General features: G+C 38.4%; 5 annotated features.

Moving 5' to 3' along the window:
• Positions 7138-8086: an enhancer, noted in NCBI's record as "NANOG-H3K27ac-H3K4me1 hESC enhancer chr6:91321559-91322507 (GRCh37/hg19 assembly coordinates)". NCBI's record gives its function as "activates a minimal SCP1, AML or CMV promoter by ChIP-STARR-seq in naive H9 embryonic stem cells {active_cell/tissue: H9 hESC(naive)}" and the evidence as "EXISTENCE:reporter gene assay evidence [ECO:0000049][PMID:30033119]".
• Positions 8787-8856: a silencer, noted in NCBI's record as "silent region_17401". NCBI's record gives its function as "represses an Ori minimal core promoter by ATAC-STARR-seq in GM12878 lymphoblastoid cells {active_cell/tissue: GM12878}" and the evidence as "EXISTENCE:reporter gene assay evidence [ECO:0000049][PMID:35858748]".
• Positions 9044-9544: an enhancer, noted in NCBI's record as "H3K4me1 hESC enhancer chr6:91320101-91320601 (GRCh37/hg19 assembly coordinates)". NCBI's record gives its function as "activates a minimal SCP1, AML or CMV promoter by ChIP-STARR-seq in naive H9 embryonic stem cells {active_cell/tissue: H9 hESC(naive)}" and the evidence as "EXISTENCE:reporter gene assay evidence [ECO:0000049][PMID:30033119]".
• Positions 9545-10045: an enhancer, noted in NCBI's record as "H3K4me1 hESC enhancer chr6:91319600-91320100 (GRCh37/hg19 assembly coordinates)". NCBI's record gives its function as "activates a minimal SCP1, AML or CMV promoter by ChIP-STARR-seq in naive H9 embryonic stem cells {active_cell/tissue: H9 hESC(naive)}" and the evidence as "EXISTENCE:reporter gene assay evidence [ECO:0000049][PMID:30033119]".
• Positions 22070-22635: an enhancer, noted in NCBI's record as "NANOG hESC enhancer chr6:91307010-91307575 (GRCh37/hg19 assembly coordinates)". NCBI's record gives its function as "activates a minimal SCP1, AML or CMV promoter by ChIP-STARR-seq in naive H9 embryonic stem cells {active_cell/tissue: H9 hESC(naive)}" and the evidence as "EXISTENCE:reporter gene assay evidence [ECO:0000049][PMID:30033119]".

The following is a 27420-nucleotide window of genomic DNA, read 5'->3' as shown; positions in this document are numbered from 1 at the left end:
TTAAAGCTAAGGAGGTCTTTTTGCTCTCCAGCTTTGATTCCCAGCTATAATTTAAAACATTGGCATTCTGTCCAGCTGTTTAACCTCCATCCATGTTCACAGATTCTCTGGAGGATAGTGCATATACATTTTACTAGAGCTGAGCAACATTTTCACAAGGGAGAAATAAACCTTACAATAAGCCCAGAATCTGTTAAGCATTCATAAATGTATATGTTTATACAACAACATGCCCACACTGCACCTCTGCCCTATTATAATTACATTTAACATAAAAGGAACATCACCTCAAACCACAAGTAGAAGTGATTAAGTTCTTAAACAAAGCTAGCCTCTAACGCTTAGCCCATTTACCAGAAATAGTATTAACAAGGAATGCATTCCTGTTTCAAGGTTTGTCTAGAAGAAGCTTTGCCTCAAACAGGCTTTGGTCCCTCAAAGTCCAATGTTCTCAAAGGCATCTGCCCCAACAGGAATGTCAGCCAGCGAGGATAGCAGCTTGAGAAATGACAGTTTCATGGCCCTGGTTTGGTGTAACCAGGAAGAGAAGAGGGAGGCTTAGTAATACCAGAAAGTGGGGGGGGGGAAAGAAAGTACAAGTGTACAGCTTGTGATTAAAAAGGGGAGATCAAGAATTCTAATGACCCAAATATCTTGGAAGGTAAAATCTGGGGGAAGCAAACACTCATCTCAAGCTCATTTCAATGATCCATCTCATTTGCTTTTCCTATAGTGAGGTCTCAGCTATAATATAACAATATCCCCTTTAATTTATGTCATAGAAAAAAAAGCATTCATTTGATGTCTCTTGGCATTTAATCAGTAATACCAAAATAGAAAGTATGTAAGAGTGGATTATTAGAGACACCAATATTTTAAAAGCAATACACTGATTCGGAGTAAAGTTTCCCACAGTGATATTATCTCAAATAACTCAGCATTTGATTGGTTTTACCAAGACTATTTCTGGTTTTCCTGGATAATCAGTGCTTATCTAAAACTATTTGGAATGAAGTAAATGCAGTTCTGGGCAGTGAGGTCCCAGTCATGGTTTTCACTCAATCAGCTCCTGCAGAGGAGTCCTTCTGTCCCTCAGACAGTTCCTTCTGTTGCTGCCCCTACACCCTGCTGTCCTTAAACAAAGATATATAATCATTTCAGAGATGTTGAAAGACTCCCAAAATGCCTCCCCATGAAATTCAATACTGACAAATGCCTACTTTTATGGCTTTTCCTGTACCTCAAAGGATTTGTTCCAGACAGCCCTTATTAAAATACAGGTATGTTACTGGAAGTCCTAACACTTTGTCATCCACTATGATAGTAAAACCAACCTTGCAATTTCATAAGCTCTTTGTTAGGACATTAAAAAAATAGGATTCGTTTTCATTCATCCAAACATATATTGTCAACCAACCACAGCTAGACTAATTGCTGGGAATCTCAAGATAAATTTTATAAAATGTCTCTACCCACAAGTGGTTTACTGTCTGTTAAGGAAGATAGAGTACTACATACAAATCATTTAATTGCATGTAATAAATGAGTCTTAATAAGGAATTGTCTGATTAAAAAAAATTCACTTTGGCCAGTTAAATAAAGGAGATAGTAGCATAAAGAGTTAAGAGTATCTAATAAGAAATTGCAGTCTCAAGAGGAACTCAAACAGGAATTGATAAGCCAACAGGAACCAAAATGGTATCCTACTCATTCTCTCTTTCTTAGGCCCCCAAATATCTCTCATATATGTTTTTTCTTGCAATCTGCTTCATTTTCCTACTCTTTTCCACAGATCAGCTCTCTTGGCTTGCACGTGTGACTATGAGACCTTTAAGACCATGAGACCTTATTCATCCAACACCCATAGCCAACAAATTTACTTGCTCTGTATCTCCATATCAATTCCTTAGAAAGAGAATCTGGCTTAATGTACACCAGGTCTAAGGACACATTCTCTTAAAAGAAAGTGTGGTGATGAGAAGTAGACACTTGTCCTCTCCAGGACAGTAAGATAATTTCAAGGTGAGCTTTGAAGGAAAGGTAGGCATCTTTCAGAGAAACAAAGGGAAAAAGGCAGTCTATGACATGTTCAAAGGTATGGATGGAGCAAAGCAGCCCACAAATAGCCCATAAAGACCCATGTATAAAGATGCATGGCCAAGAGGCAATTTATGAAGCTGGGAAGATAGCCAGGGACCAGATGAGGAAGCACTTTTTATGCTGTGCTAAGGAGTATGATTTTTACCCTACAGCTGATGAAGGCAGGGTGTCAAAATATTTAAGCAGAGGAGAGACAAAAGCAGACCTGTGTTTTAGAAAGAAAACTCTAACAGCAGGGTGACGGATGGACAGGACACACCACTCAAGAAGCTATTTCAGTAATTCAGACAAAAGGTGGTGCAGACTCAAAATAAGACCATGGCAAAGAGGAATAGGGAAGAGGAAGGTTTCAAAAATATTAAGAAAGTGGAATCTAAATGGAATAGGGTCAGTTCAGAAAAGCAAAGATTCATAAGCTTTGATATGGAGAAGAGAAGAAAGTTTAAACCAAACCCAAGGCAGGTGGTAAGGGGTGTACCAGAAATGGGAAAAAAGAACACACTGAAAGAAATGATGGGCATATGAGAAACATTGTACCTTCTTTCTAACCTTTTTATGGGCTAGTCTATTCCATGGTCTCTGAGTATGTTAACCCAAACAAATAAAGGAAGACCCCAACTTTCCAGGGTGTGAGCATAAGAGGCTGAAAAATAATTGGTAATTAAGCCTTAAAATCAAAGGCATACTCCATTTATCCTGTTATCTTATTACAATGTGTTTCAATTCAACCTATCACACAAAAGGACAAGAATTCACTTCTAGTGAAGCCTTAACTTGTGAATGCTGGGCCTTGTTTTATTATGTATTTCATTAGAAGTTTTTGTGATGTTGTTTTCCTTTCAATTCCATGAAGAAAAAGTAAAAAATGAGGAATGTGAACTTCTCAGATGATCCTGTGACTTTGAAGCCACGTATCTAAATATATGATCTCTTGCTTTTGCATTTAGAAGCCCTGGGGAGCTACATTATCTGACTGATTATGAATGCATATATTTTCATAAGAATATGCAATCTTAACCAGCTCAGCACAGGACACTGAAGTGACTAAGTATCAAATTAAAGATTATTCTTTTTTGTGTAGAATTTGCTCCAGCAAGAAATTGAACAAGGGGATTTGAAATCCAAAAACAGTGGGACCACCTCCCGAGACAGTATTCATTATTAGTGGGTCCCTGTTTCTTATCTCCCTGTACACCCAATTCTCCCATTGCTTTAAATTATTATCATTATTTGCTAAATGCCTTCGGTATGCTCAGTACCCTGTCAAGCACAGAAAAAAGGTGCCATACCTGCCCAGGGGCTTTCTACCTAAATTACACAGATATAATTTAAGTTTGAAAATGAGTTGTAGTTGTCAGTTACAGTCTTTGCAATAAGCTTAGAAGCAATATGACAAAACTAAAAGAATATAGATTCACATATTGAATCTTTCCCCCCTCCTTGGATCTTCTTTCTATCCCACAGCCCAGTTTACTAACCCAGACAACAGCATCGCAGAAATATGCCACAGGTCAATAGTGAGAGGTCATTGATAGCTCAGAGAAAATCATTAGCACTTAGAAACAATCCTGTGTATGTGCCCCATTTCTTACCTGCCCCCACAGAGAGAGGGGAGCCTGTATTCAAAAGCAGCAGCAAGTGAGGAAAGCTGAGTGAAAGGTGAAGTTTCCACAACTGCCTCCCTCTTCCCTGACCCTACACCACCCAGTCCAAGGCTCTATATTGCTGGCAACACTCACATCCCTGTCCAGATCTTCCCCATCTTCAGAGGCCTTGTTCACCCCAGACCTCTCCTCCAACTCCTGTGACAAATGTCTAGAGAAGTAAGGTCTGAAACTTCAGTACCTCTGATTTCAGTCCTTTACATACCTTGAGAAACACATCTCATCAATATATATTGTATTAGTGTTTACATGCAAGTTCAAGTGTATAAAAGAAAGAGAAAATGGGGGTACTCTTTCACGTATATTTCTTCCCTTCACTCCCATTATTTCTAACAAAAACAATCCTTTTTAAAAATCAAAAATGCTGTGTTTTCCTCAGGGTCAGATTGGTGATACAGCAAAGGCAGTGAATCTGGACTCTATTCCACAAGATGGAGAAAACCCCAGACAAAAACCACAGGAGGCAGATGTGGAAAAGGAAAGCAGGACGACCATCCCTTGAGCCAGTGAAGCAAAGAACAGTAGGGGGCTTGGTGCAAGGGATGGGATATAAGGAAATGGCCTGAGACTTCAGAGAATAGCTGCAGGTTTACTTATACTAGAAAGTTCTTCCACACCCCCAACCCTACTGTTATTGCAGCCGCCACTAAACCGACCTCACCCCAAACCCTAGACCCTGCCAGTAGTTTGCCTGCCAGTGGTGTCTCCACCACCTATGGTTTGTCGTTAGGGCATTCCTTGTTTCCTCTGCCTAACAGGAAGGAGAAGAGGAATAATCAGTCCTTCCAGGATGCATAAAGGGGAACCATGCAGTACACTCAGGGGTTCAATCACTGAAAGTCATTTCCTGGCACAACATCATTCCACAGTGACACAAGTTCCACTGCCTTTGAGGGCTAAGCCAAGAACCTCCACATACACATTTTTCTATGGGAGGATGTTTGAGTTACCTAAATTTGAACACGTTTCTCCTTTGAAATATAAGTTCCTTGAAGGCAAAGCTCATGTCTGACCATGAATATAGTGAACAGTGTATATGAATACTTTTCTAAAAAATAAGTACTTACATACCCACTGCATTACTACCTGCTGGCTTTACCCTCTACCTTATTCACAGAGCCAGCTCCTCAGTCATTTCAATCCAGCCAAGTACCACCAGCTACACCCACTTCTACAATGCACAAGGCCAACTCTGCCACCTGCTCTGGCCATCTCTTTTGCTTCCTATCTGGATCATTCCACCATGCATTTCCTCCCCGATACATGCTTAACACACATTCATTATTGATTTAAGGGTTATTTACTGAATGCCTATTATGTACAATACATTGTGCCAAGTACAGGGTATTGTTAAGTTCAGAGTTTTTTGAGTTTTAACATTCCATTCATGTCTGCTCTAACCTAATAATTTCTAAAATGTCAAACAGGTTTTAGTCCACTGACACAATATGAATCTAACTTCTTATTCCTCATACTCCTGGCATTTGTCTGGAGGGTCTTGAATGTATGCATAGTTCATTTCTCACTGATCCTTTATAGTCTTGTTGTTTGGACCACCAAAACCTTAGTCTATTTTCATTCAGGTAAATAAAATAGCGTTCAATAGACAGCACGATGAAACTGTGTTTTGCAGACTGCATAAAAGCAATTTCAAAAGTAGTTATGTTCTTATGGGGCTTAAGATTTGCTACCCCAAAATATGGAACCTTGGCATATGTTGAGCTGAAGGAATAATTTAAGCTAAAATAATTTGAGAAAATGGCAAAAGCAGAAAGGTCTCCCTGATCTGTTCCCATCCTTCTCCCCTGAAGCAGATCATAAACCTGGGAAGGATTTTCTGACCTGCCCTCAAAGGAGGTCATAAGAGCCTCAAGTGAGAAGCGTCCTCCTTATACTCGGAGAAAAGAACATCTTTATCTCTGTAGAAAGAGAGAAATCAGAATCAAAAGTCCTTGCTAAATTTCCCTGAGTTTATCATATTTAGCTCAAACCCTATGTGTCCTATCATATTTCTCCGCAGATGTCCACTCTTCACCAAACCTACCAGAAAAAAACAGTCAGGTTTCACTGTTCTTCAGGTCTTCATTTCCTTATGATATGACATTTTCCCATGTCATATAAAACTTATATTTAATATATTTGTACGTTTATCTCTTGTTAATCTGTCTTTTGTTATATGGGCTTCAGCCATGAACCTAGGATGAGTAGAAGAAAATATATTTTTCCCCAAAATATGTACACCTATTCCGTATCAGGGAAAAAAAAAAGATAAAAAGAAAATCTTCACCCCTACAGAGCAGAGATGATGCTCAGGAGACAAAGAAAGCAGAAGGAAATATATATATATATATATATAATATATATACATATATATATACATATATATATATATATACAAATGTAAAACAAAATTGTAATTAAAATTGAAATAGCAAAAATCCTGAGAGTAAAAATTACTGCTACACCATGTTTACTTGAAAATACAGATTTTCAGGGCAAAACAATGAGGCAAAAGTGAGTTTGTGCTTGACAAAAAGATTCACAGTATCACTTTGCAATATGAATAAAGCATGGTTCAATCAGTAAAAACAGAATATACATATACATACCTCTTTTCTGGTATGCATGAATATCGCAAATCTGTAGTATTTGTACAATAATTACTCGATATAAGCTTGTTCAATAATGGATCATCATTTATCAATTTTTAGCTCCCATTCTGTCTTCTAAACCTTGCCAAATAGCTATAAAAATAAGAATAATCAGGTGGGAAGTATATTTTAAGAACGGGTCAAATGATTTAAGATTGGATCAGTCCTCCCCTTTCTCTTCACTGCCCAGACAAAGGCTAATACATGATTGTCAGATCTGGAATCCATAAATGTCATAAGCACAAAGCTAAATAATCCACATCATTGGGGGGAGGGGTGCAGAGGTAAAGAGGAGAGAAACAGAGAGATCACGTTTAAAGAAAACATATTATTATCATACTTTGTAAATGTTGGTTAAATAAATGTTTTAATCTTATTGTAATATATTTTTCCTAGTTTCCGTGCTGCCTAAATTTTTCCTATCTAAATTACTACCTGGATTTGCCAGTAAATTTCCTTTTTTTTTCTACATTTTCTATAGATCTTTTAATCTTATCTGTCTCCAGGTTCTCTCATCCCTGCCTCTCTCCAAACCCTTCTTTCATTAGTCTATATAATATAATCTATTTTCCTCTCAATAATTTTATTTTTTCTTTTTTAATCTTAAATCTGGTTTGTACACAATCAGGTATATAGACAACAGTAGTGACTAATACAGGATGCTAAAAAATAGGTATAAAAATAGCAACATCATTTTATTTTTAATTTTTTAATCAGGTTTTTTCCTCGGGGAGGAGTCTACCTTACTTTTTATTGTCATAATCACCTTTATTCCGTTAAAGGCATAAATGTGAATCAACATTTCCAACAAGAGCTCAAATCCTAAACTAGAAGTCCAGAGAATTCACGGTATGTAAAAACTTGTGGGTGCCTTCACTTTTTAATGGGAGTAGATTTGGGTCTGGATGAAGTCACCGATGTTTCTCAGAAGAAACAAATGTCAGCGCGACCTATTAAAGTCAACCCTGAGCTAGGCAGCAACAATGAGCTAGGGATTAGCATTGACAGCTCCCTTAATGTGATTCTTTTGGACAGGGATTAATTTAATGTGTTGCTGTCAAATGAAACAAAAAACGAGATGGATTTACTAATGACTCTATTCTATACCACACACTTTTCCACTCCTGATCTATGTCAGAATGAATCTGACAGCGAGAGAAAATAATTTTTTAAATGAAAAGGAAGAGACATTGCCTTCTTGACAAACTTTCAAGAAAGGAGTTTTCACTGGGCTCCCAAGAGGAAGGATGAGCGTGGGGTGCGCGCCCACGTGGAGGGAAGCACTGGGAACCGCTGCTCCAACGAACGCGCACAGCACCAGGCCCGGACCCGGTGTCAGGTCCCAGCTTTGGCACAAACTGGCAAGACAGCCTTAACTTCTGCAGGCCTCAGTTGCCTCCGATGTGAATGTTAACGGGTCTGTTACGCGGCTTCTAAATTTCCCCTTAGCTCTAAATTGCTCACCTCTAGAAGAGGGAGCCCCCAAACCCACCAGGAGCTCTAGTCTTGTTTCAAAGACAACTCGGCTGTGAGGCTGTGACAGAGAGGGGGCGAACCACAGAGCGAAGGGTTGATCTTTAGCAAAACGGTTTGCCAAGTCAAATGCTAAAGCCTCCTTAAAATAATTTGGATTCTTCTTTGTTCTCCCTAACAAAGAAACTTTAATTCGCAGTTCTCTGAGAAGAAAGACAATGCAGACAAGCCATTTTCAGGTGAAAGGTGTCTCGTCAATTGATAATCATTGAATAATCACTGAGGACTGGCAGGAGCTATTCTTCGAATGGGGTGCTCATAATATGCAACTGCATCGATTTACAATATAGACTGGGCAAGATTCGTCCTTGTGATTGTTTTGATTTGCCCCCTGAGGTACAAACGTTGCTAGTCTTGTGTATTTGTGTATATTCCTGTAAGTTACCCTGAGGTTTGTAATAGCCCAGGCCCCCTCGTGTCTGAGTCTGGTCTCACCGACAGGGATGCCCCCTAGCAGCGTCTGAGCCCAGGCAGACACGTTGTCCCCGCCCGGCGCCTAAGCCCTGGGACGTGTGGTTGACTGGGCTTCAACCCGGTGCAGCCCCCGCCTGCAACCCTCGGGGCGCGCCGGTGTGGCTGGAGAGGAAAGAGGTGTGGGCCGGGACGGGGACGCCCCGCGATGGCGAGGCTGGGAGACCTGCCCGTGGCGCAGGAAGAGCTTGAGCGAGACGGGGAGCGGAGGGATGGGGGATGCTTCTCCCCTCGCCACAGCCTAGACGCCTCCCGGCCCTCGCTCCCCTGCCCAAACTGCGGCTGGGGAAGGGACGCCAAGAGAGGCTTCCCGGTCGCGCCCCTGAAAAGCGCCGTTGCTTGGGGAGGAAATGGCTCCCCGCCCGGCCGCCTCCTCCGCGCGCGCCTGGCGCCGGCTCCTTCCCGGCCCCCGGCCGCGCTCTGCCCGCCCCGCGCGTCCTCTCCCCCGGCGGCCAGCGTGGTCTGGCCGGAGCCCCGATCTGGGGTGAGGAGCGGTGAGAATCCTGGCTCTGGCACTTAGCTCGGTGACCTTGAGCAGTCACCTAACCTCTCAAGGTCGCTGCTTTCCCACCCGTAAAGCGAGACTGAAGCCGCCGTCTCTGCGGGCTCCCGAGAGGATGAAAGGAAGGATGGAGACCCAGCCTCAAGCTCCCAGTGCCCGGCCCCGTCTCCGTCCGACTCGTTTCTTCCTCTTCTCTATTTTCTGCCTACTCTTCTCTAGTGTTTCCTGTCGTTTTTGATTCTGTGTTTTTCCTCTTGGTTTTGTCTCCCCAGTCTCTCGCAGAATCCATTTCCTTTCAATTCTCCTTTTTCTCCCGTGTTCGTTATTGTGACCAAATTCATCAAAGATTGGTTTCCACTCCATAGACCCAGGCCTCCCCAAGAAACCGCCCCCACCCCCATAATCTCCAGCGCCCCCTCGCCGGGCTATCCCAAATAAACAGACAGTCAAGAAAGAACTCGGCTTACTACACAAACACGGTCTTAAGACACACGTCCCCTTCGCACCATTTCCAACCATGAAATTTCTGCTACGTGGGACCTCTGAGACCACGGCTTCCCTGAGGACAGGAGCCACCGTGGCTTCTTTGTCACCATGTCCCCAACACCAGGCCCAGAAATCCATGCGAGGGCTGGAGGAACGTCGGCCCGCGACCGACGAGCCGAGTGGGGAGCTGAGACTGGAGCCCAGACTTCCAAATACTCCTCTTGGTCCTTGGTACAGAGAAAAACGAAATCGTATATGATGTTCCATAGTCAAATATGAACATATTATTTAAAAGCACAATGTTGACTTGTGTTTTTTTAAAAACCATGTTCCGTAACTTTTACCTGTAGAAATGAGGTTTGGATCAAGTTCTTAATTATGAAAGTTGGTTAAGAGAGAAAATTAAAACACCACCAAGTTGAATTGCCTAAAGATGAGCTGCATTTATACTCATTTATTGAAACATTTTAAAGATACTTAAAAATACACGTTATTTCTTTACAACCAAAAACCACACTGTATACACTATCATAGTATATATAACACAAAGATTATAAAATGTCGTAAACTATAACCAAAGTATGTACACGAACTTTTTTAAAAGAAGAAAAAAGCTAAGGAAAAAAAAACTCTTGTAAAGAAGGCTAAGAAGATAATTTTTAGTTGCTTGCAAGTTACTTCAAACCTAAAAGTAACAGGTTTCCTTTGAAATTATTTCTCATTTTTATTAGAATCTAATTGAAGATCACCTGTAAAAGGTGGGGGGAGGAAGACAAGTGGGGAAATAGCAGTTCTAGGTAAAGATTTTGGAAAAAGTAAAAGAACCACAGTACCACCTTGTGGGGAAGAGAGATTTTTTTCTCCTTCAATATTATGGTGGTTTTATTTCCCTATACTACAGTCACACACACACACACACACACACACACACACACACAAATTAAAATAAAAACAAAGACATTTGGGGCTCAAAGCAAAAATTTAGTTGTGATAATATGCTTTCTCTAATATTTTTAACACACTGGCATGTTCATATTAAAACTTTTAAGATTATACTAGAAAGTTAAACATAACAATATGTGATATTAAGAAATTTTACTCTTAATGCTGCAAATAATCCCATAAATCAAACGTCAAATGTTAGGCATGAAATAGTAAATATAAAACCGTTAGCACATTCTAACAGAATAATAATTGTTTTAAAATTAGCTTTGATTTCAGTATTAAATACAATTTATGCATTTTAAAAATATATTTTTTTTCAATTGCTTGGACTTGGAAAAAACATTTTTAGATAAATACAAAGCAATTTTTATATATTAAAGTTGTTTGTCTCATTATATCTAAGAAGGGTGGAGCAGCCAGACATTTATAGAACTCAACAATTGTTACCTTAACAAAACCGTTCTAGCCACTTTCAGGATATAAAGAGGGCACAGATCATAAAGCTTGAATTTTAAAAAGTAAAATTGTAAGACTCCAGAGCCAAGAAATGCAAAACAAAAACTGCTCCTCATCTATTGTACATCTGGAAATATCTTAAATGACATGAATGTTTCCTGCTCTAAACGTGTTTTCCGTGAGGCAAGAGGGAATTCAGGGGTTACCTGTAGGCATTCTTTATTCTTTGTGCTTTAGAATCACAGGGCTGGTATATCCCTCTGACCTTCAGGAAGGACTAAATCAAAAGCATCCCAGGAAGAGACCAGTGTATTTCAAACTGTGTTCAGCAGAGCCCTAGGGGCTGTCAAAAGATTATGAGGGGAGGGAAACACCGAGAGAGGCCCCTCACTCGCAGCTTCCACCAAGCAAGTCTGCTTTCATCGTTTTCACATTTAGGAATTCTGCCTACAATTCAATGTAAACAACAGGCTCTGTGGCTTTAAAAATCCAACTAATTTTGTATAAGTCTAATAAATAAATGTCGTAAGAAATGTCCTGATGCTTCCTGCAAGTTTATTAACAAATGCACTTCAGGAGCAGCCCACCATGCTTCCACATACTACATTCTTTTCTTCTTTAAAAAGATTCATTCACTACAAAATGTACATAGGTTGGAAAACGTTTTTCAATTAAAATGGAAGTACATTAAACTAAAAATCTCCTTCTCATAACCCCAACCCTTTCACTCCCCAGGAGTAACACAGTTAACGTTCTGATTTGTATCTTCCTAGACAGTTTCCCTGTGTGCACAGGCACAGGCCTGTATGGGTGCATACACATGCCCACCCACAACAGTGTTTGATTGTTTGTTTGTTGGTTTGTTTCAAGAAAACAGGATTATATACCTGTGTTTTTTCTTCTCAATAACATAACAACATCTTTCTGTGTCAGTAGCTACAGAACCACCTCATTCCTTGCAATGACTCCATGGTATTCAAGGTATGGATGTGTATAACTTATTTAATCTCATCCTTCCTGTTGAATATTTGGATTTTTCCTCTACTTAAAAAAATATTTCCTACACTTTTCACCTGGCCAACATCTATACATACAAGTTTCAGGTTTTTTAAATGTTTCTTCCTCAGAGTAAACCACACCATCAACTTATAAGAAGTAACAACTGCAAATTTTTAAAACATAATTTCTCAATACAATATACTTTTCCTGAAAGAACATTTTAAATACAACAGAATAGGATTTTTGTAAGCATAGTTTCGTATTAATTTCTTTACTGGGAAACAAATAAACCTACATCTTTTTAAGATTTTTTTTCCAGTACCACACAAATGAGATTTATGCTTTTTTGGAGAGCTACTTGGCTGCATCCATCGATATTTAAAATATTCATGTCTTTCAACCTAACATCAAGGTAGCTTTTCTATAGGAATATTCACACAAGTTCATTAATTCATTGAACACATTTATTGAATCGATCCAAGTGCTAGTCATTTTGCTAATTTCTCATGGAAGAGTGTTTAAAATAAAAAAATACTCAGGGGGATTATAGTATAGTGAGAGAAATCTATACTGGATAATCACATGGTACATATGCCATTATAAATTATGAAAAATAGTAATAGGAAAAGTAAATTATAATAAGTGATTTTAACAGTGGGTTTTCTTCCCAAAGAGCTACAAAATGTTACACCGTCTTCTCTCTCATTATACTTCACCTTTTAAGCCCAATCTTTTACGATATATTTCTAAAGCATCCCACATACATTTTTCTTTTTTTTTAATATACCTCAACACACGGACAAACCACTTAAGACTAATGAAACTTCAAGATTGACAAGTCACTGCTTTCAGCTCATTTTAGTCTTTGTCCCAAATTTATTATTAAAATATTATTAAGATACTTAGGCATTTGTATTTTACCAGCCCTTTCACTTTTCTATTGTGGATTCATTTTTCAAATAATGAGAAGTAAGGAGAAAATATAATAGAATATTCAAATATATAAATAAATATAGTTGTTTGGATAAAGCCAAGAACATGAGTGCAGCTAACTTTTTGACTGGCAATCAACACCAACCTACTACAATTTCAAAATCATTGCCGATAAGATGCTTTATAAGAGTCCAAATTTAGTACACAGAAGGTAGTTCAGGCATGCCAATCTCAAAGTCTGTACAGACTTTAATACATGAAAAGATATGTATGAAAGCTAAAAGCTAACATAAAGTGTTTTTTATTGTAGTGGAGGAATAAGAGCTAGAAAAAAGGTGTGGCAATGGTTTAGTTTTCAAGGATGTCAGTTGTGATAGTAGTAGGAGACACCAAGACTAAGCTGAGCTGTGAACCCACAGAAAATTTCGACAAGTCTGAGCATATTTAGAGGACAAGTTAGATTTGGCTACCAGGCTGGGCGCGGTGGCTCACACCTGTAATCCCAGCACTTTGGGAAGCCGAGGTGGGCGGATCACGAGGTCAGGAGATGGAGAACATCCCGGCTAGCACGGTGAAATCCCGTCTCTATTAAAAATACAAAAAAAAAATTAGCTGGGCATGGTGGTGGGCGCCTGTAGTCCCAGCTACTCGGGAGGCTGAGGCGGGAGAGTGGCGTGAACCCGGGAGGCGGAGCTTGCAGTGAGCCGAGATTGCGCCACTGCACTCCAGCCTGGAGGACGAGCAAGACTGCGTCTCAAAAAAAAAAAAAAAAACCAAAAAAAAAGATTTGGCTACCAAAGGTCTATTTGTAAAAGGTGCTCCTGGAAAATAACTCATCTTTAGGTTAACAGAGACTTTTATAGTACAGGTTTGACCCAACAAAGGATAATGAGCCAGTCTCATTAGAGGAATGATTTTGGCTGTGTTAGCAAGCTATGGAGACTTCCTGAAAGCACTGGTAAAAATTTAAGAGGCCAGAATAACTTGAGGGTAGATGGAGGATGGGGAGGTGACAATCAGAGAAGTACTGTTTTGTTTTTGTTAGTGTGAAACTGTGACCCTATGACCTCATTTTTATCCTGTATCTGGTGCGACCTAAGGAAATGTGAGTTAGATAACATAACAGTAGGCCCAACTGGAGAAAGTCATTATGAAGCTGACACTGGCTTTGTTGTGCTAAGTTCTTTCTTTCAAGCTTTGGCTGAGTTTGAATTTTGGAAGCAGAGTTCTTTCTATCTGAATCATGAGAAGAATAGATCACTATCAAAGAAAGATTATTTGAGAACTCATTAATGACTCCAGTTGGTATAAAACAATGTCTTGAAACTATAATAGAATAAACTCCCACTCTCCTTCCCCCTCCTCCCCCCCCCCAAAAAAAAACACACAACAGCCCTGGTCTCCAGCATTTGGGGTAGGGATTGACAGGGAAGGGGTATGAGGGAACTTTCTGGGATGATGGATAATGTTTTATAATATAATAGGCTTTCATTTATAAAGGTATATTCATTTGTTGAGACTCAGTGAATGTATACTAAAGATATGTGCATTTATTGTATGTAAAATTTTTCGCAGAAGAAAAATATGTTTAAAATACTGAATTCTTGTTAATGTTATCAGTGCTGAACTATTTAGGGGAAAATGTACCAATGACTGCAATCTACTTTCACTAGTAAATACATCAAAAATTAAGATGTAGTAATGGGTGGATAAAGGGCTAAATAGATGGATGGAGATGCATAAAACAAGCAGAGTAAAATTTTAATGATAGACTCTAGGTGACAGACATTTGGGTATTCACTGTAAACTTACTTCAAGTTTGATGTATGTTTGAAATGTTTAATAATAAAATATCGGGGGGAAAATTAATTCCTTGAATCCAAGAAGGTTTGAAGTCTAAAAGGGACAAGAGTAGACTAAGAATCTGTTTACACGCCATCTAAAACAACAAAGAACCAGAATAATGGGAATAGGCAAGATCAGAATGTCAGCTCTTCTAATTTTCCCTGCCTCTGACTCCCCTAGATCCCCACAATTGGTTATACTGGTTTCCCACCTTGAGGTCAGTTTTTTCCCGGTTATCCAGTCATTCTCAGTGTTAGGTAGTCAGTATGTAAGCAGATACAGCTGTTCATTACACAGCTACCCCTCACTTAACACACAAACATCACACTCGAAACAAGCTTAGAAGCAGACACTTGCCCATTTCTCAGTCTCATCACTGGCTTCCATGTTGATGCCTGAGCCTCTTCCACCCACAGTCAGGCTTGGGGTTCAGTGCCCTAGGGATGATAAGTAGAATTCTGGAATTATCCTGTCCCTTTCAATCCCAGCTCTGGGAAGCTCTAGTTGTAAGGGTGGAGTTTCTGTTTTGGTTCCTGTTATCTCATCATGTCCCTGTGGTCACTTTCCCACTTTGGAGCCTGAGACCCAGCCTATCACGTAAATAGATGATGACTGCTATACCAGAATGACCCCTAGGATAAAGAAGAGAGCTGGGAAGAGTCCTAGACTTGGAAGCATGAGACTCAAATAAGGGTTGAGAGAGTTGAGGCTACCACTAAAGAGCTTGAGGTCAAGCCACATAATTATTTAACAAATATATTTCAGTTTCTGCATTGTACTAGGCACTATGCCAGGCACTGACCAATTGGTGGCAAACAAAACAGATATAGCCTCTGACCTCACAGAGCTGACAATGGTGGCAGAGTTAGTAAACACCAAAATATATATGCATATAAATAGATATACATGAATATATAACAATTTATTATAAATACTATGAAAAAAACAGAGTTCTCTGAGATTATATTAAGGCAACTCACTTTAGATGGGTTGGGTAAAGAAGAGCTCTCCAAAGAAATGCCATTTAAGCTGGGACCATGTGAAGTGAAGTACAGGGTAGAGAGGGGAAGAGAGTCAAGACTGGCTGAAGAAAATATGAAAGTGTCTGAGACAGATTAACGTTAGAGGAAAGGGAAGAAATCTGGTGTGACTGGTGTAAACTGGTGTAAACCAGGGAAGGTATAAGTCCTTGGATAAGGTTTCGGACAAGTGAGTATGAACCAGATTTTATCACGCAGGCCTAAAAAGTATGTTAAGGCCTTTGGGTTTTTATTTAAGCACAGTGGGAAATAATTTAAGAGTTTTGGGCAGAGAAATGAAGTCTTCCTGAGTGCCACGTGACCCAGAAATAGCTCCAGTTCTAGGTACCAAAGCTTCTGAAATAATACAACAAGAATGTCAGCTTCAAGAAGTCAAGGGATTTTTATTTGTGTCACTCATTACTCTTTCCCTAACGTCTGAAATAGCAGGAGCTCAGTAAACAGTACATTTTCTTTACAATCATAGATTCAGGTCATACTCAGTTTAATGGCTCTGCATTTAACTATGAATTCAACACCACAGGGCACTTCTTTTGGCTCCACAGCAAAGAAAACCCTAACTCTGCCACACATAGGACAAGGGCCAATTTCATATTTTGATCACAAAACTCCTGTGGAGGGAAGGAGAACAATGGATTCATATAGATTTACATAGTAAGTATTGGGAAAAAAGTGAGAGAAAAACACAATCTGCGAAAGGATGGTGGGAGAGCGTTGGTGGAGCAGTTGGAAATTAATGGTTCAAGTAAGAGTGGAGAGGTGGATCTCCAGGCACTACTGGATCCAGATGCTCAGACTTTGTCAGTAGGTTTCCATTTCTCTCCATATATCCTCCAATTCCTTTTACAGGTTTTGTTTTCAAAGCAAGCTCTTCCCATATTGTCATAAGGATAGCTGCTATTAGCACCAGGCATACAGACTATCAGCCTAGGAACCCTGGAAGAAAGAGAATGCCTCTTTCCTACAGTTGTAGCCAAAGTTTACTGGTTCTGATTGGTCTGACTTGGTTTACATATCTACCCCTGAACCAATCACCAAAGACATGTTGCAAGAGAGGTACTACTCTCATCATTCACAGATGGTGTTCCCACCACTGAAGAGAGGAGCAGTCAACCTCACCTAAAACCCAAGTACTAGGAGAGGTCATTCTCCGAGGGAAAACCGAGATGTTAATGCCAAAACAAACATCAACGACAGACTTAGAAAGCACCATTTCTATGTGCAAAGAATGTTAATGGCAAAGAATGACTAATAAACCATTGTTTTCTTCAAATAAAACGCATATATTAATCCAAAGCTTTAAATAATGTACTGTATTGTACATAAGGTTTCTGCTATGTTTTCTTAAGGTCTGGCTAGTTGCAAATTTCAGGTGAACACTATAGTCAATGAATGCACAGGAATACAGTGACCATGAGAAAACCATAGTTCTTAGTTTATAAATGTTTACACTGACATATGACTATAAAAAATAACCATTTTTAAGATTTTTATGTATTTCTAAGGAAGTATTAACTTAATATTTTTAATAAGCTGAAAAAATTGCTGCAATGAATAAAGCTAAATATGGCACTTATTTCAAACTTCTGCATAGTATTAAGAATTATTTGTGCTTCAGACCACTTAATTAAAAAATGTATTCAGTTTTGAGAATTTTAATACTTAATCAAAAGCTTAAACATTTTTTAGCAAATATGCCTGAAATAAACACAAAAACTTTGAGAAATGCTAATCTCAGTGAGACATTAGTGGAGTAATAAACCCTGAAACAAATAAAATTCGACAATAATGAAAACTCATTCTCAAAAGAATGACCAATATAAAGAGCAAAAAAAAGAGAACTAGTTAGGTTGATGTACGAGATATGCAAAATCAGTATGCTGCAATCAATATAGAAGAGCACAGCAGAGAAAAATGTATTTCCACTCTGAGTATTGCAATGCAAGTACTAGGGAAAATAATCAGACACATTGAGTAAAACCAATAAACTCTTATTAACAGCCATTAAGATTTGCAAGAGCAGCATGTAAATATAGCTGTAAACAACAAAATAGCTCAACTTTAAGCTTCCATGAAAGCAGAAAGTTAAGACTAAGCAATCATTAGTCTTAGTCATTGTTATATATCTACCTAGCGTAGTACCTAGCACATAATAGATGCTCAGTGAGTTTTGTTCAATTGAAAAATTACATACATAATCACTCCACCCAGTGATTTATATTATTTAAAGCTATAATTTGGTAGGTCATTTGGTGATCTCAAAGTGAAACCAGTTAATGAAAAGTTCTTGGGTACATAAATTATGTGAATGTGAATTTATATATACCAGCATTTATGTGACTGTTAATCTGCAATCAAATATACCTAGTAAGATTCTGCCAGTCATATGTTAATGTTTTCAGGCCTGAAAAAGAAATAAAAAGTCTAACCACTATCTGTATTTAGTAGACCTGCACTGCTACAACCAAGGTTCCACCTGGATTGTTTGGACAATACCAAGTTTTTAGTTCAGTTTCCCCTAGAAGCAAAATCTGAGAAAACAATTATTGAGGGCACATGGGACAGTGTACTCAATGGACTTACAGAAAAAGTCCATGGAACAGTGATCCTTACAGAAAAAGGGGAAGATGATGGAGAAAAGGAAAAGCGGGCAGTAAAGGGTGTATTATTAAGCCAACTGCCCAAGTGACACCACAAGGAAGCTCTGGAATTAGTCCATAAAAACAGGTGAAGAGCCTGGGTATTTATACCTCTACACCACAGATCACTGGGTTAAGGGCCATCACCTGAAAGAAATTAATTTCCATCCCCTTCCAGCCGGCCCAGGTATGTGGGCAAAGTGGGTTTTGGCAACTCAAAGGTAGCCACCCAAGAAAGACGTAGTTGCTGCCCGTGGGAAGTCAAGCTCACATGTATGGAAACAGTAAAATAATTTAAGGGGATATGGGTGGGACACTCAGAATATCTGCTACACCTGGCAATTATTGGCAATTCTTACATAAGCAAAAGAGACCCTAAAGTAAAGAAGAGGGTATGAAAACAAAATATAACCGTAACTTCTTTTTAACTCCAGGCTAAACAGGCTTTACAGTATAGTGGCTACTACCGTCTACACTCAGTAAACCACTGTGCTTGATAAAGGAATCAGTGAATGATTTAGAAATGAACTATCCACATATAGATACACCACAATACAGCCATTCACACCCCACATGCACTGAGCTCTGAGTTTTAATTTACTTTTAAAACTTCACTTTTATGTAAGAAGGGACAGCTTTGATGCAGGACTTTTTCTTCCCTAAGAGATGGTCGCATACTCCATTTGTGGCCATAAAGAACCAAGAATAAAAATAATAGATTTAACTCTAACAATTTCTCCTAATATAAACATAGTTATGTAGCCAATTAAAAACCTAAAGTAAAAGAGCATCTTGAATGTAAGAAGCAAATTCATCTTACTTTTTGTTCTCTACATATTCTGAATCTCTCACATTCTTTCTCAGGATCCAATGGCAACTCAAGGCTAAATTTGTAATGCAGATTTTACATCTTATCATAGTCCTTCAGCTAATTTTGTTGCCTTCAGAAATCATTTTTATTCCAGTTCAATATGCTTCAATCATACATAAATTGTCAATTCTGATAATACCTATTTTTTTAATAAATTAAGCTAGAGACAGGGTATAATGTATTCTTTGTTTTCCAACGGAGATCCATCCCAGGCTTATTAAAATTGATAATGAGTGAGGGGCTGGAGACTGGTTAGGCTGAAGAAAAAAGTAGAAATCAATTCTGAGCAGGGGAGTTAAGGTAAGCAATACATGAAATTAAAACCAAAGATAAATCCATTTTTGTTAGTTTAATAAATACCATATGTCAATTAGAATATGCTATTGTTTTTCTTTTAATGAAGATGGCTTATATTGATTAATAACCTTTTGAATTGTCTGAATGTGTGAGGAGGTATGGAACTTACTCTCATTTAGATTGATCAAGAATTGCTTAATTTGATCTCACAATGAAATTTCCCTTTAGGCTGTGAATTTCATCAAGTTTGGATCAAGATAATGACATAGTAACCTTAAACAATTGTCATTTATCAAGGAAACCAGAAGTATTTATTAGAAAAGTTTAAGAAATGTAGAGGTTTAAAACCCAAACATAAACTGAATGATAATATTTGCTATTTTTCATCCTCTCAAAATCACCTATTTATATACTTAATATCATGCAGTATAACATTACATTTGATGCACTCATTATAGTACAGACTCCATTCCTAAACATCCCAGAGGATTCATTTCTAGGGATTAATTGACCTTGCATTCTTTAAAACGTTTTACTCTGCATAAATTTCAACTTTAATTTCTTCTTCCTAAAATCAAAGAATCTTTCTACTCTACTCAAGTTTTAAGAATAGTTGGCATCAGATAAGAAAAGAGAATACTATTAAGAAAACCATAGTGATGCAACACTAAAGTATAATTATCTCATCAAATAAGCTAACAGGAAAACCTCTTATTTTCCCAGGAAAGTCTATATTCAAAAAACATACTCTAGACAAGGAAGATTACAATTAATCATTTGTCTTAAGGAACTCTGATATGCCCCCAAAGGAATGTGATCATCTGATAGCTTCCATAGAGGCCTAGAATTGGAAATCCAGCTCTAAGCTTTCAGACAAGTAGGCTTTGGTGACTTTACATACAAGGAACCTTTAGAGATAATTAAAATGAAATGTCTTCCTGTGGTTACAAAGCTAGCTGTTTTCTTTTCAATGATAACCTGACCAAGTTGGTAACACAATTTTCTAGGACATTAAGAAGCTCACCGATAACTACGCCAATATCTTTTGTCAGTAGACTGCCCTTATCCAAGGGGAAAACGTTCCAAGACCTCTAGTGGATGCCTGAAACCATGCCTAGTACCAAACTCTATATACTGTTTTTTCAACCTGATAACCAAGATGGCTGCTAAGTGACTAATGGGTGGGTAGTTTCTACAGCATGGATACCCCGGACAAAGGGACAGGACAGAATGTGACAGCACAAGATTTCATCATGCTATTTAGAACAGTGCACAACTTTAAATGTATGAATTGTTTATTGCTGGCATTTTCACTGAATATTTGCAGACTGAATATGGTCACTGAAACTGCAGAAAGTGAAACCATGGATAAAGGAGAACTACTGTATATACCACTCTTTTAAAGTCTCCTTTTATTCATAAGCCTATTATCATTCTCTTCAGCTTAACCAGTCTCCAGCCCCTCACTCAGGACTAGTATACTATATTGGCTCTTTAGTTCATATGGTCACTAGTGGTTCTGGCAAGGAGGAATCAAAAGCCTAATCATCCTTTGAATTAACTGATAAAATGGAGTTATTAAGCTTACAAAACCAAAGATTACAGCCACGATCAAGGTATCCTTACCAATGTGTAACTGCCCCATGAACCCTACTGGAAATAGTCTTCAACTTCAGTGAAAAGAAATGTATTATAAATCAAAACAGCTAACACCAACTTGATTGATTGATTGAAGCAAGCTGTCACTCTGTCACACAGGCAAGAGTGCAGTGGCATGATCACATTTTACTGCAGCCTCAACCTCCTGGGTTCAAGCGATCCTCCTGCCTCAATTTTTTTACTTTTTTGTAGAGACAAGGTCTCACTGTGTTGCCCAGGCAGCGACTTTCTTCATTTAAACAATAGGAAAATGTGCTGAAGATTAAAATACAATCACTAATTTTTAGTTATTCAAAATGAATAATTCAAATTATTTATTAACATAAATGCTGCTGCCTATATGTGACCTCAAGGGCTCTCAACTCTGATTGGCCTGTGACATAGAAACTAATGCTGCCATATCAGAGACTTACTGATCAGAATCTATAGAATGGTGACTAACTATTGTTGTTGCATCATGTTGTTTATTTCTGTTCCTCTATATAGTATTTCATTCATGTTAACATTTTTGAAAACCACATATTTTCTAGGCTCTGTACTACATACTTTCACATACTGTTTCATACACACTAAAATATTTAGAAATGGATTGACATTTTAATATTTAACAAAACTGATATGATTCAAATTCCGATTAACAACTAAAACAAAATATTTTAATATTGATAGGAATATAGCATAGCTCACTTAGCTCAATACTTAGAGTTAGCATGGTTAGTCAGCCTTCAAATATTAAAAGTTTATCAGATTATTTCTTCATTTAACAATTCAAGCTAAAGCATGAGTTTAATAATCTGTGCTTAGATTGTCTTCTGCACTTCAGATAGAAAATTCCATTAAGAAATAGTTGTCATAATTCCACTTCCTGAATTTCTTCTAATACTTCTAATATTTCTTCGGATATCTAAGCACTAAATATCGATTTCCCAAACTTGTCAAGTGTAATAGAACAAGTGAATATTTTAGATTCAACTAAAACACCATTTGGGGACACTTTTCCCATTAGACAATTTCCCTTAACTTTCTGAATGCCTCTGGGCATAATTAAAAGACCCTGTTACTTTTCCTGTATCATGTGTTAAAGTTTAAGTGTGTTACATAATTGAATTGATTAACAATTTTTAGAAGATTAATTAGCATCCCAACAGAAATTTAACAGAACTTTTCATTAATACCTTAATCTTGATAGTACTGACTTCCCTCTCAGAGCACTTTGAATTCCCAGAGATGGCTTTTAAATATGGAGCCTCTATTTACTTAATAGAGCTTTGTGCCACTGAGAGTAGCTCTGTGCGGTGCTGGGGAACTCGGAGGAAGATGTGAAATGGGTTGCTAACGAACAAGAATGCAAAGTAGACCCTCTCAGCCTCACAGGTTTCAAGCACTACAATATCCCTTACCCTGATTATAGCTTCAGCAGAGTGGAGTGGTTTGTTTGTTGAAATAATGAAGAGTGGATGGCATCCATTTTAGTGGAAAGTTTTAATTTGTGATTTCCTGAGGCTGTGTGAAATGAAATACCCTTATTTATTCCCATAAATGAAACCAAATTGCTTCTGCAGTTTCTTCTGAGAAAGATCATCTAAGAACATCGATGTGACATATTAGTCTATGACATAAAACATTCAGTGAATGCACTTTTGTAGTGAAGAGCACTATTTCCATGAAGATAATTTTTTTGCTGACTCATGTTCTTATCTGATTAAGTTTCTGCCATGAAAAACCGATGCTGAAGTATATCATGATGATAAAGCTTAGCTCGGAAGCTCAGAAAATAAAACTCTGTCTATTCTCTCTATTTTTACATATTTTTTGATTAAAATATCAGTTATTTCTGAAAGTAATCATTAGTGCCATAATAACACCTTATTAACTTTCAACAAGCAAACTATTCAAATGAATTAAATAGGTATTTGGAAAGAACTAAAGTTTACCCTTGGAAAATCCAGGGGAAAAAAGTATCCTAAAACTTAGTAACATGAAGATTGGAGAGATATTTAAACTGACCAGGAGAATGAAGAATTTTCAAAACCCTCAAATACTCGAGAAATCTTCATTACAAATAGTTGGTATGCCAATTATATATCAATTTATTTATTAAATCTTCCCCCAGTTATAGAAAACATTTGGTTAACCCAATCCTTACACCTGAAATAAAGTAAACAGCATTTATTTAGAAATGTAGATACTCATTTACTTTCTAAAAAGTTATTAAGTGTCTACTAAACACTTACAATTCTCACCCCAGTTCAGCTAACATCCAATGGGCAGGGTCTGGTAAGGGGTAGGAGGACAGAAAATAAACAAGAGAGAAAATAATTAAAAAGATGATGTTGATAGGTAAAGGGCTAGAAATAAAACTTAGTAATAGATAGAAGTGAAGGGAGAGGGAGCCAAAGGGAGGACCATATCACTATCTCTGAGGTGCTGTTTGAGCTGAGACCTACCTGATAAGGTACAGACATCTGTGGAAAATTTAGGAAATAGCAAATCCAAGCTGGGAACATCTTACCTATAAATCACGAGTAGTACACAGGAACAGAAATCTAGCACTTACAAAAGCAGACATTCTCCTAACATCTGTGGGGCTCAGGGTAAGAGTACAAATGGAGGCTCACATATTATATGCCTAAATATTTATAAGCAGTAAATCAAGGTAAACTGGTAAATAAAATATATTCCATCCTCCTACCTTGACAATATTCCCTTTCACTAGAATGTAGTGGTATAAGCAAAGCTAGCCTCCAACTCCTGATTTATACCCCTGTCCTCCTACTCTGGGCTCAATCTACACTGCAAGGGGCCTTTACACACCCACATGTGGGCTCCCAAGCCTGCCCATCTGAGCCCATTCACACACACATACGCATACACAGATACACTTTGGCTAGCCCTCCGGAGGACAGACCCAGAGGAGAAACTTGTACACGTAGCTTTGGGGCTGTCTGGGGGCTATTTCAGGGGCTTGAGTACCTAGAGCTCTCATCCCATGACAAACATGGTATAAAAGGAGATTTTAAAGTGTGTGGCTCAGAGCAGAGACCCCTCTTACTGGGGCTAGTGGAAAGAGTATACATAAAAAAATCACCAGCACACTTTTTTCCCCTCAACAAATCTCCCCAATCCAGCCTCTCTTTTCTTTCCAATTTTGTACCAGTTAGCAACTAAGCTATGATGGGACAATAGTCTCCTATTATCTGTGATGGAGAACTGTTTTGCCCATTATCACCACACCAAGAAGGAAAAAAGGAAAACTAACAATTACTTCATATTTAATTTCTATGAACCAGTCACTTTTAATCTGCACCAAAACCTTTGATGTAGGTATTAGATAAACTAAAGTTGAAATTTTAAGTAATTTATTCAAGATATGTGGCAGAATCAAGATAAGAACTCTATCAGAATTCTAAAACCTGTGCTTTGAAGATAAAGCACAGAAATCCTAACTACAATTAGTTTACCACCCCTCTCTAAAGCATAAGCAAACTTGAAGCATTTTAAGATTACCAAAGAAATAGAATAGCTTTTGCATGAAGATACCCTAAAAACACTAAATTTAAATAATGTTCACGGATGTTCATCTCAGTGATATTTAAAGGGGGGAGGGGGGAGTGTTAAAAACAACCTCAATGTCCAACAGCAGACAGTTAGATGAATGACTCACAGACATCCTGACGTCTCAGTTCCTGCCCTTCTCAGTTCCCTCCTTTTCTCCCAATCGTATCTCAGATTGAATGTTGCCCTTACCTGAAACTGCACCACCTTTGAAATCACAAATTCAAAAGTCTCACTCTCTAAACACAACCCCAGATCCACCCAGTTTGCCCAGGAAACGTTCACCACACCTGTTCTTCAATCACATGGCAAACCTCCACCCTAGTGACCCTTCTACCTTCTCCCAAACTATCATACCCTCCCATCATCTCTTTATCCTCTCTTCAGGTTAGCTCCCATGGCCCATCATTCAGCTATACTCTTGCCAAAGCCCTAAACTCCCTCGCCGCAATGTGGGTTTAATTTATACTGTTCTGTATTTTGCCTTCCCTTAACAATCAAATTTCTCAAAAAGTTGTCCACATTACTGTCCTCATTTCTCTCACCTCTCACTCAGTCCAACTCATCTAGTTTCTGTTCCCACCTTGGAAACTGCCCTAGTCAAGGTTATGGGTGACCTCTGAGTTCCTAGACCCAACAGACCCTTTTCAAGATTTTCTCATGTTTAACTTCTTTTTTTTTTTTTTTTTTTGTGGAGATGGAGTCTCACTCTGTTGCCCAGGCTGGAGTGCAGTGACGCGATCTCGGCTCACTGCAAGCTCCGCCTCCTGGGTTCCCGCCATTCTCCTGCCTCAGCCTCCCAAGTAGCTGGGACTACAGACGCCCGCCACCACGCCCAGCTAATTTTTTGTGTTTTTAGTAGAGACGGCGTTTCACCGTGTTAGCCAGGATGGTCTCGCTCTCCTGACCTCGTGATCTGCCCGTCTCGGCCTCCCAAAGTGCTGGGATTACAGGCGTGAGCCACCGCGCCCGGCCATGTTTAACTTCTTGTAAGTATTCAACACAAACATCCTTTTCATGTTGGTTTCTACAATATCATAGTTTTTTTAAATTATTTTCCACAACTTTCTTTGGTAGTTACTCCAGCTCTACCCACTCCTTAACCATTTTATTCCTTACAGCTCTTTCTTAAGTCCTAGTCTCACTTTACATATCTTTCAATTTCCATGAATTTAATTATTAATATCATCAGTAGATCAGCATCTGTTTCTCTAGCTTTGTCTTTTCCCGGAAGATCAGCTGCCTACTTGATCATAATACTCTCTGGAACCTCTAGCTCAACATGTTTAAAACTTATTTCTTCATTCTCCTCTTCCCTAACCTTGTTCCCGCTCTTCTTCTTGCCTCTTGCAAAAGGCACCCTTTCTACAATGAATTGCACAAATGAAAAATCTGGAAATCCTCCTCTATATTGCCCTTTCCTTTACCTCCTTCCCCACTTCCAGTGTCAGTCAATAACTCCCACCAATCACTAACTCTACCAATTCTATTTCCTCAATGCCTCCCATTTATCCGTTTATCTATAACCCCTATGGCCACTATCCATGTTGTTTAAACCACTATTATGTCTTGCCTTGAATACTGCAACAGCCTCCTAACTCGGTGCTTCCCAAACTTTTTCATGTCATGGCACACATAGAAAATGATATATTGGCCAGGCGTGGTGGGTCACGCTTCTAATCCCAGCACTCTGGGAGGCTGAGGGGGGCAGATGACCTGAGGTCAGGAGTTCGAGACCAGCCTGGCCAACATGGTGAAACCCTGTCTCTACTAAAAATACAAAAATTAGCCGGGTGTGGTGGCAGACACCTGTAATCCCAGCTAATCAGGAGGCTGAAGCAGGAGAATCGCTTAAACCCAGGAGGCAGAGGTGGCAGTGAGCCGAGATCATGCCACTGCACTCCAGCCTGGGTGACAGAACAAGACTCCGTCTCAAAAAAAAAAAAAAAAGAAAAAGAAAGAAAGAAAGAAAAAAAGATAATATTGTAAGATACTCTGGGATAAACTAGAAGGGATTGAAGTCATCTATTCAGGGCTTAATTTTAAAAACCATCTTTTTTTTTACATTATATAATTTTGAAAAATGAAATACAATGTATTAGAGACAATGTTAAACACTAAATTTGTATAAAACACCAAATAGACTCTTTGAAATTTTAGTAAGAATTTTTAATAAGCTTTCCTTCATGAATATAATTTTTAACATAAATTATTATATTTGAAATGACTACCATCAATTCCTGATCCAGACTTTTTAAGGATGATCTCTTCAAATTCTTGATAGTCATCATCAAAGAAAAACTTTCTTCATAAAAGTAAATGAAAAAAGCATTTTTATAACCATTCTAAAATTTACAACAGTTCAAATTAAACAGCTCTCCTTTAGTTGTCAAATATAATGTTCAAATGTCTTGTGGTAATATAAGCAAATTTTGAGATAAGTTGTACTTTCTTATATCAAGTGTTTAGAAAATAATGGACATTTTTATTGGCAGAACACACAGACATCATCAAAACAGTCACCTATAACTAGCTTGGATGGGGATGGGGTTAAAGGAGAGAATGTTACCTGCAAACAGAAATGTCAGCTAACTGTGATGTCAGAGAATGTCTTGGAGCTGCACCTGCCAGAAGCCTCTACTCCACCTTTGCAATGCTCACCCTTAAAAGCTACATTGTGGGTAACTGGAACACCAACGCTTCCTGCAGCTCCATGAGTTGGCTAAGTTCCAGCTTAGTTTCTCCTGGGATGCCAGAGACCTAGGATGAAGATA

This window comes from Homo sapiens, chromosome 6 (genome assembly GCF_000001405.40).
Source record: "Homo sapiens chromosome 6, GRCh38.p14 Primary Assembly".
Taxonomy (NCBI): Eukaryota; Metazoa; Chordata; class Mammalia; order Primates; family Hominidae; genus Homo; species Homo sapiens.
The sequence above is the reverse complement of the archived record's forward strand: the minus strand, read 5'-3'. Positions and strand labels throughout refer to the sequence as shown.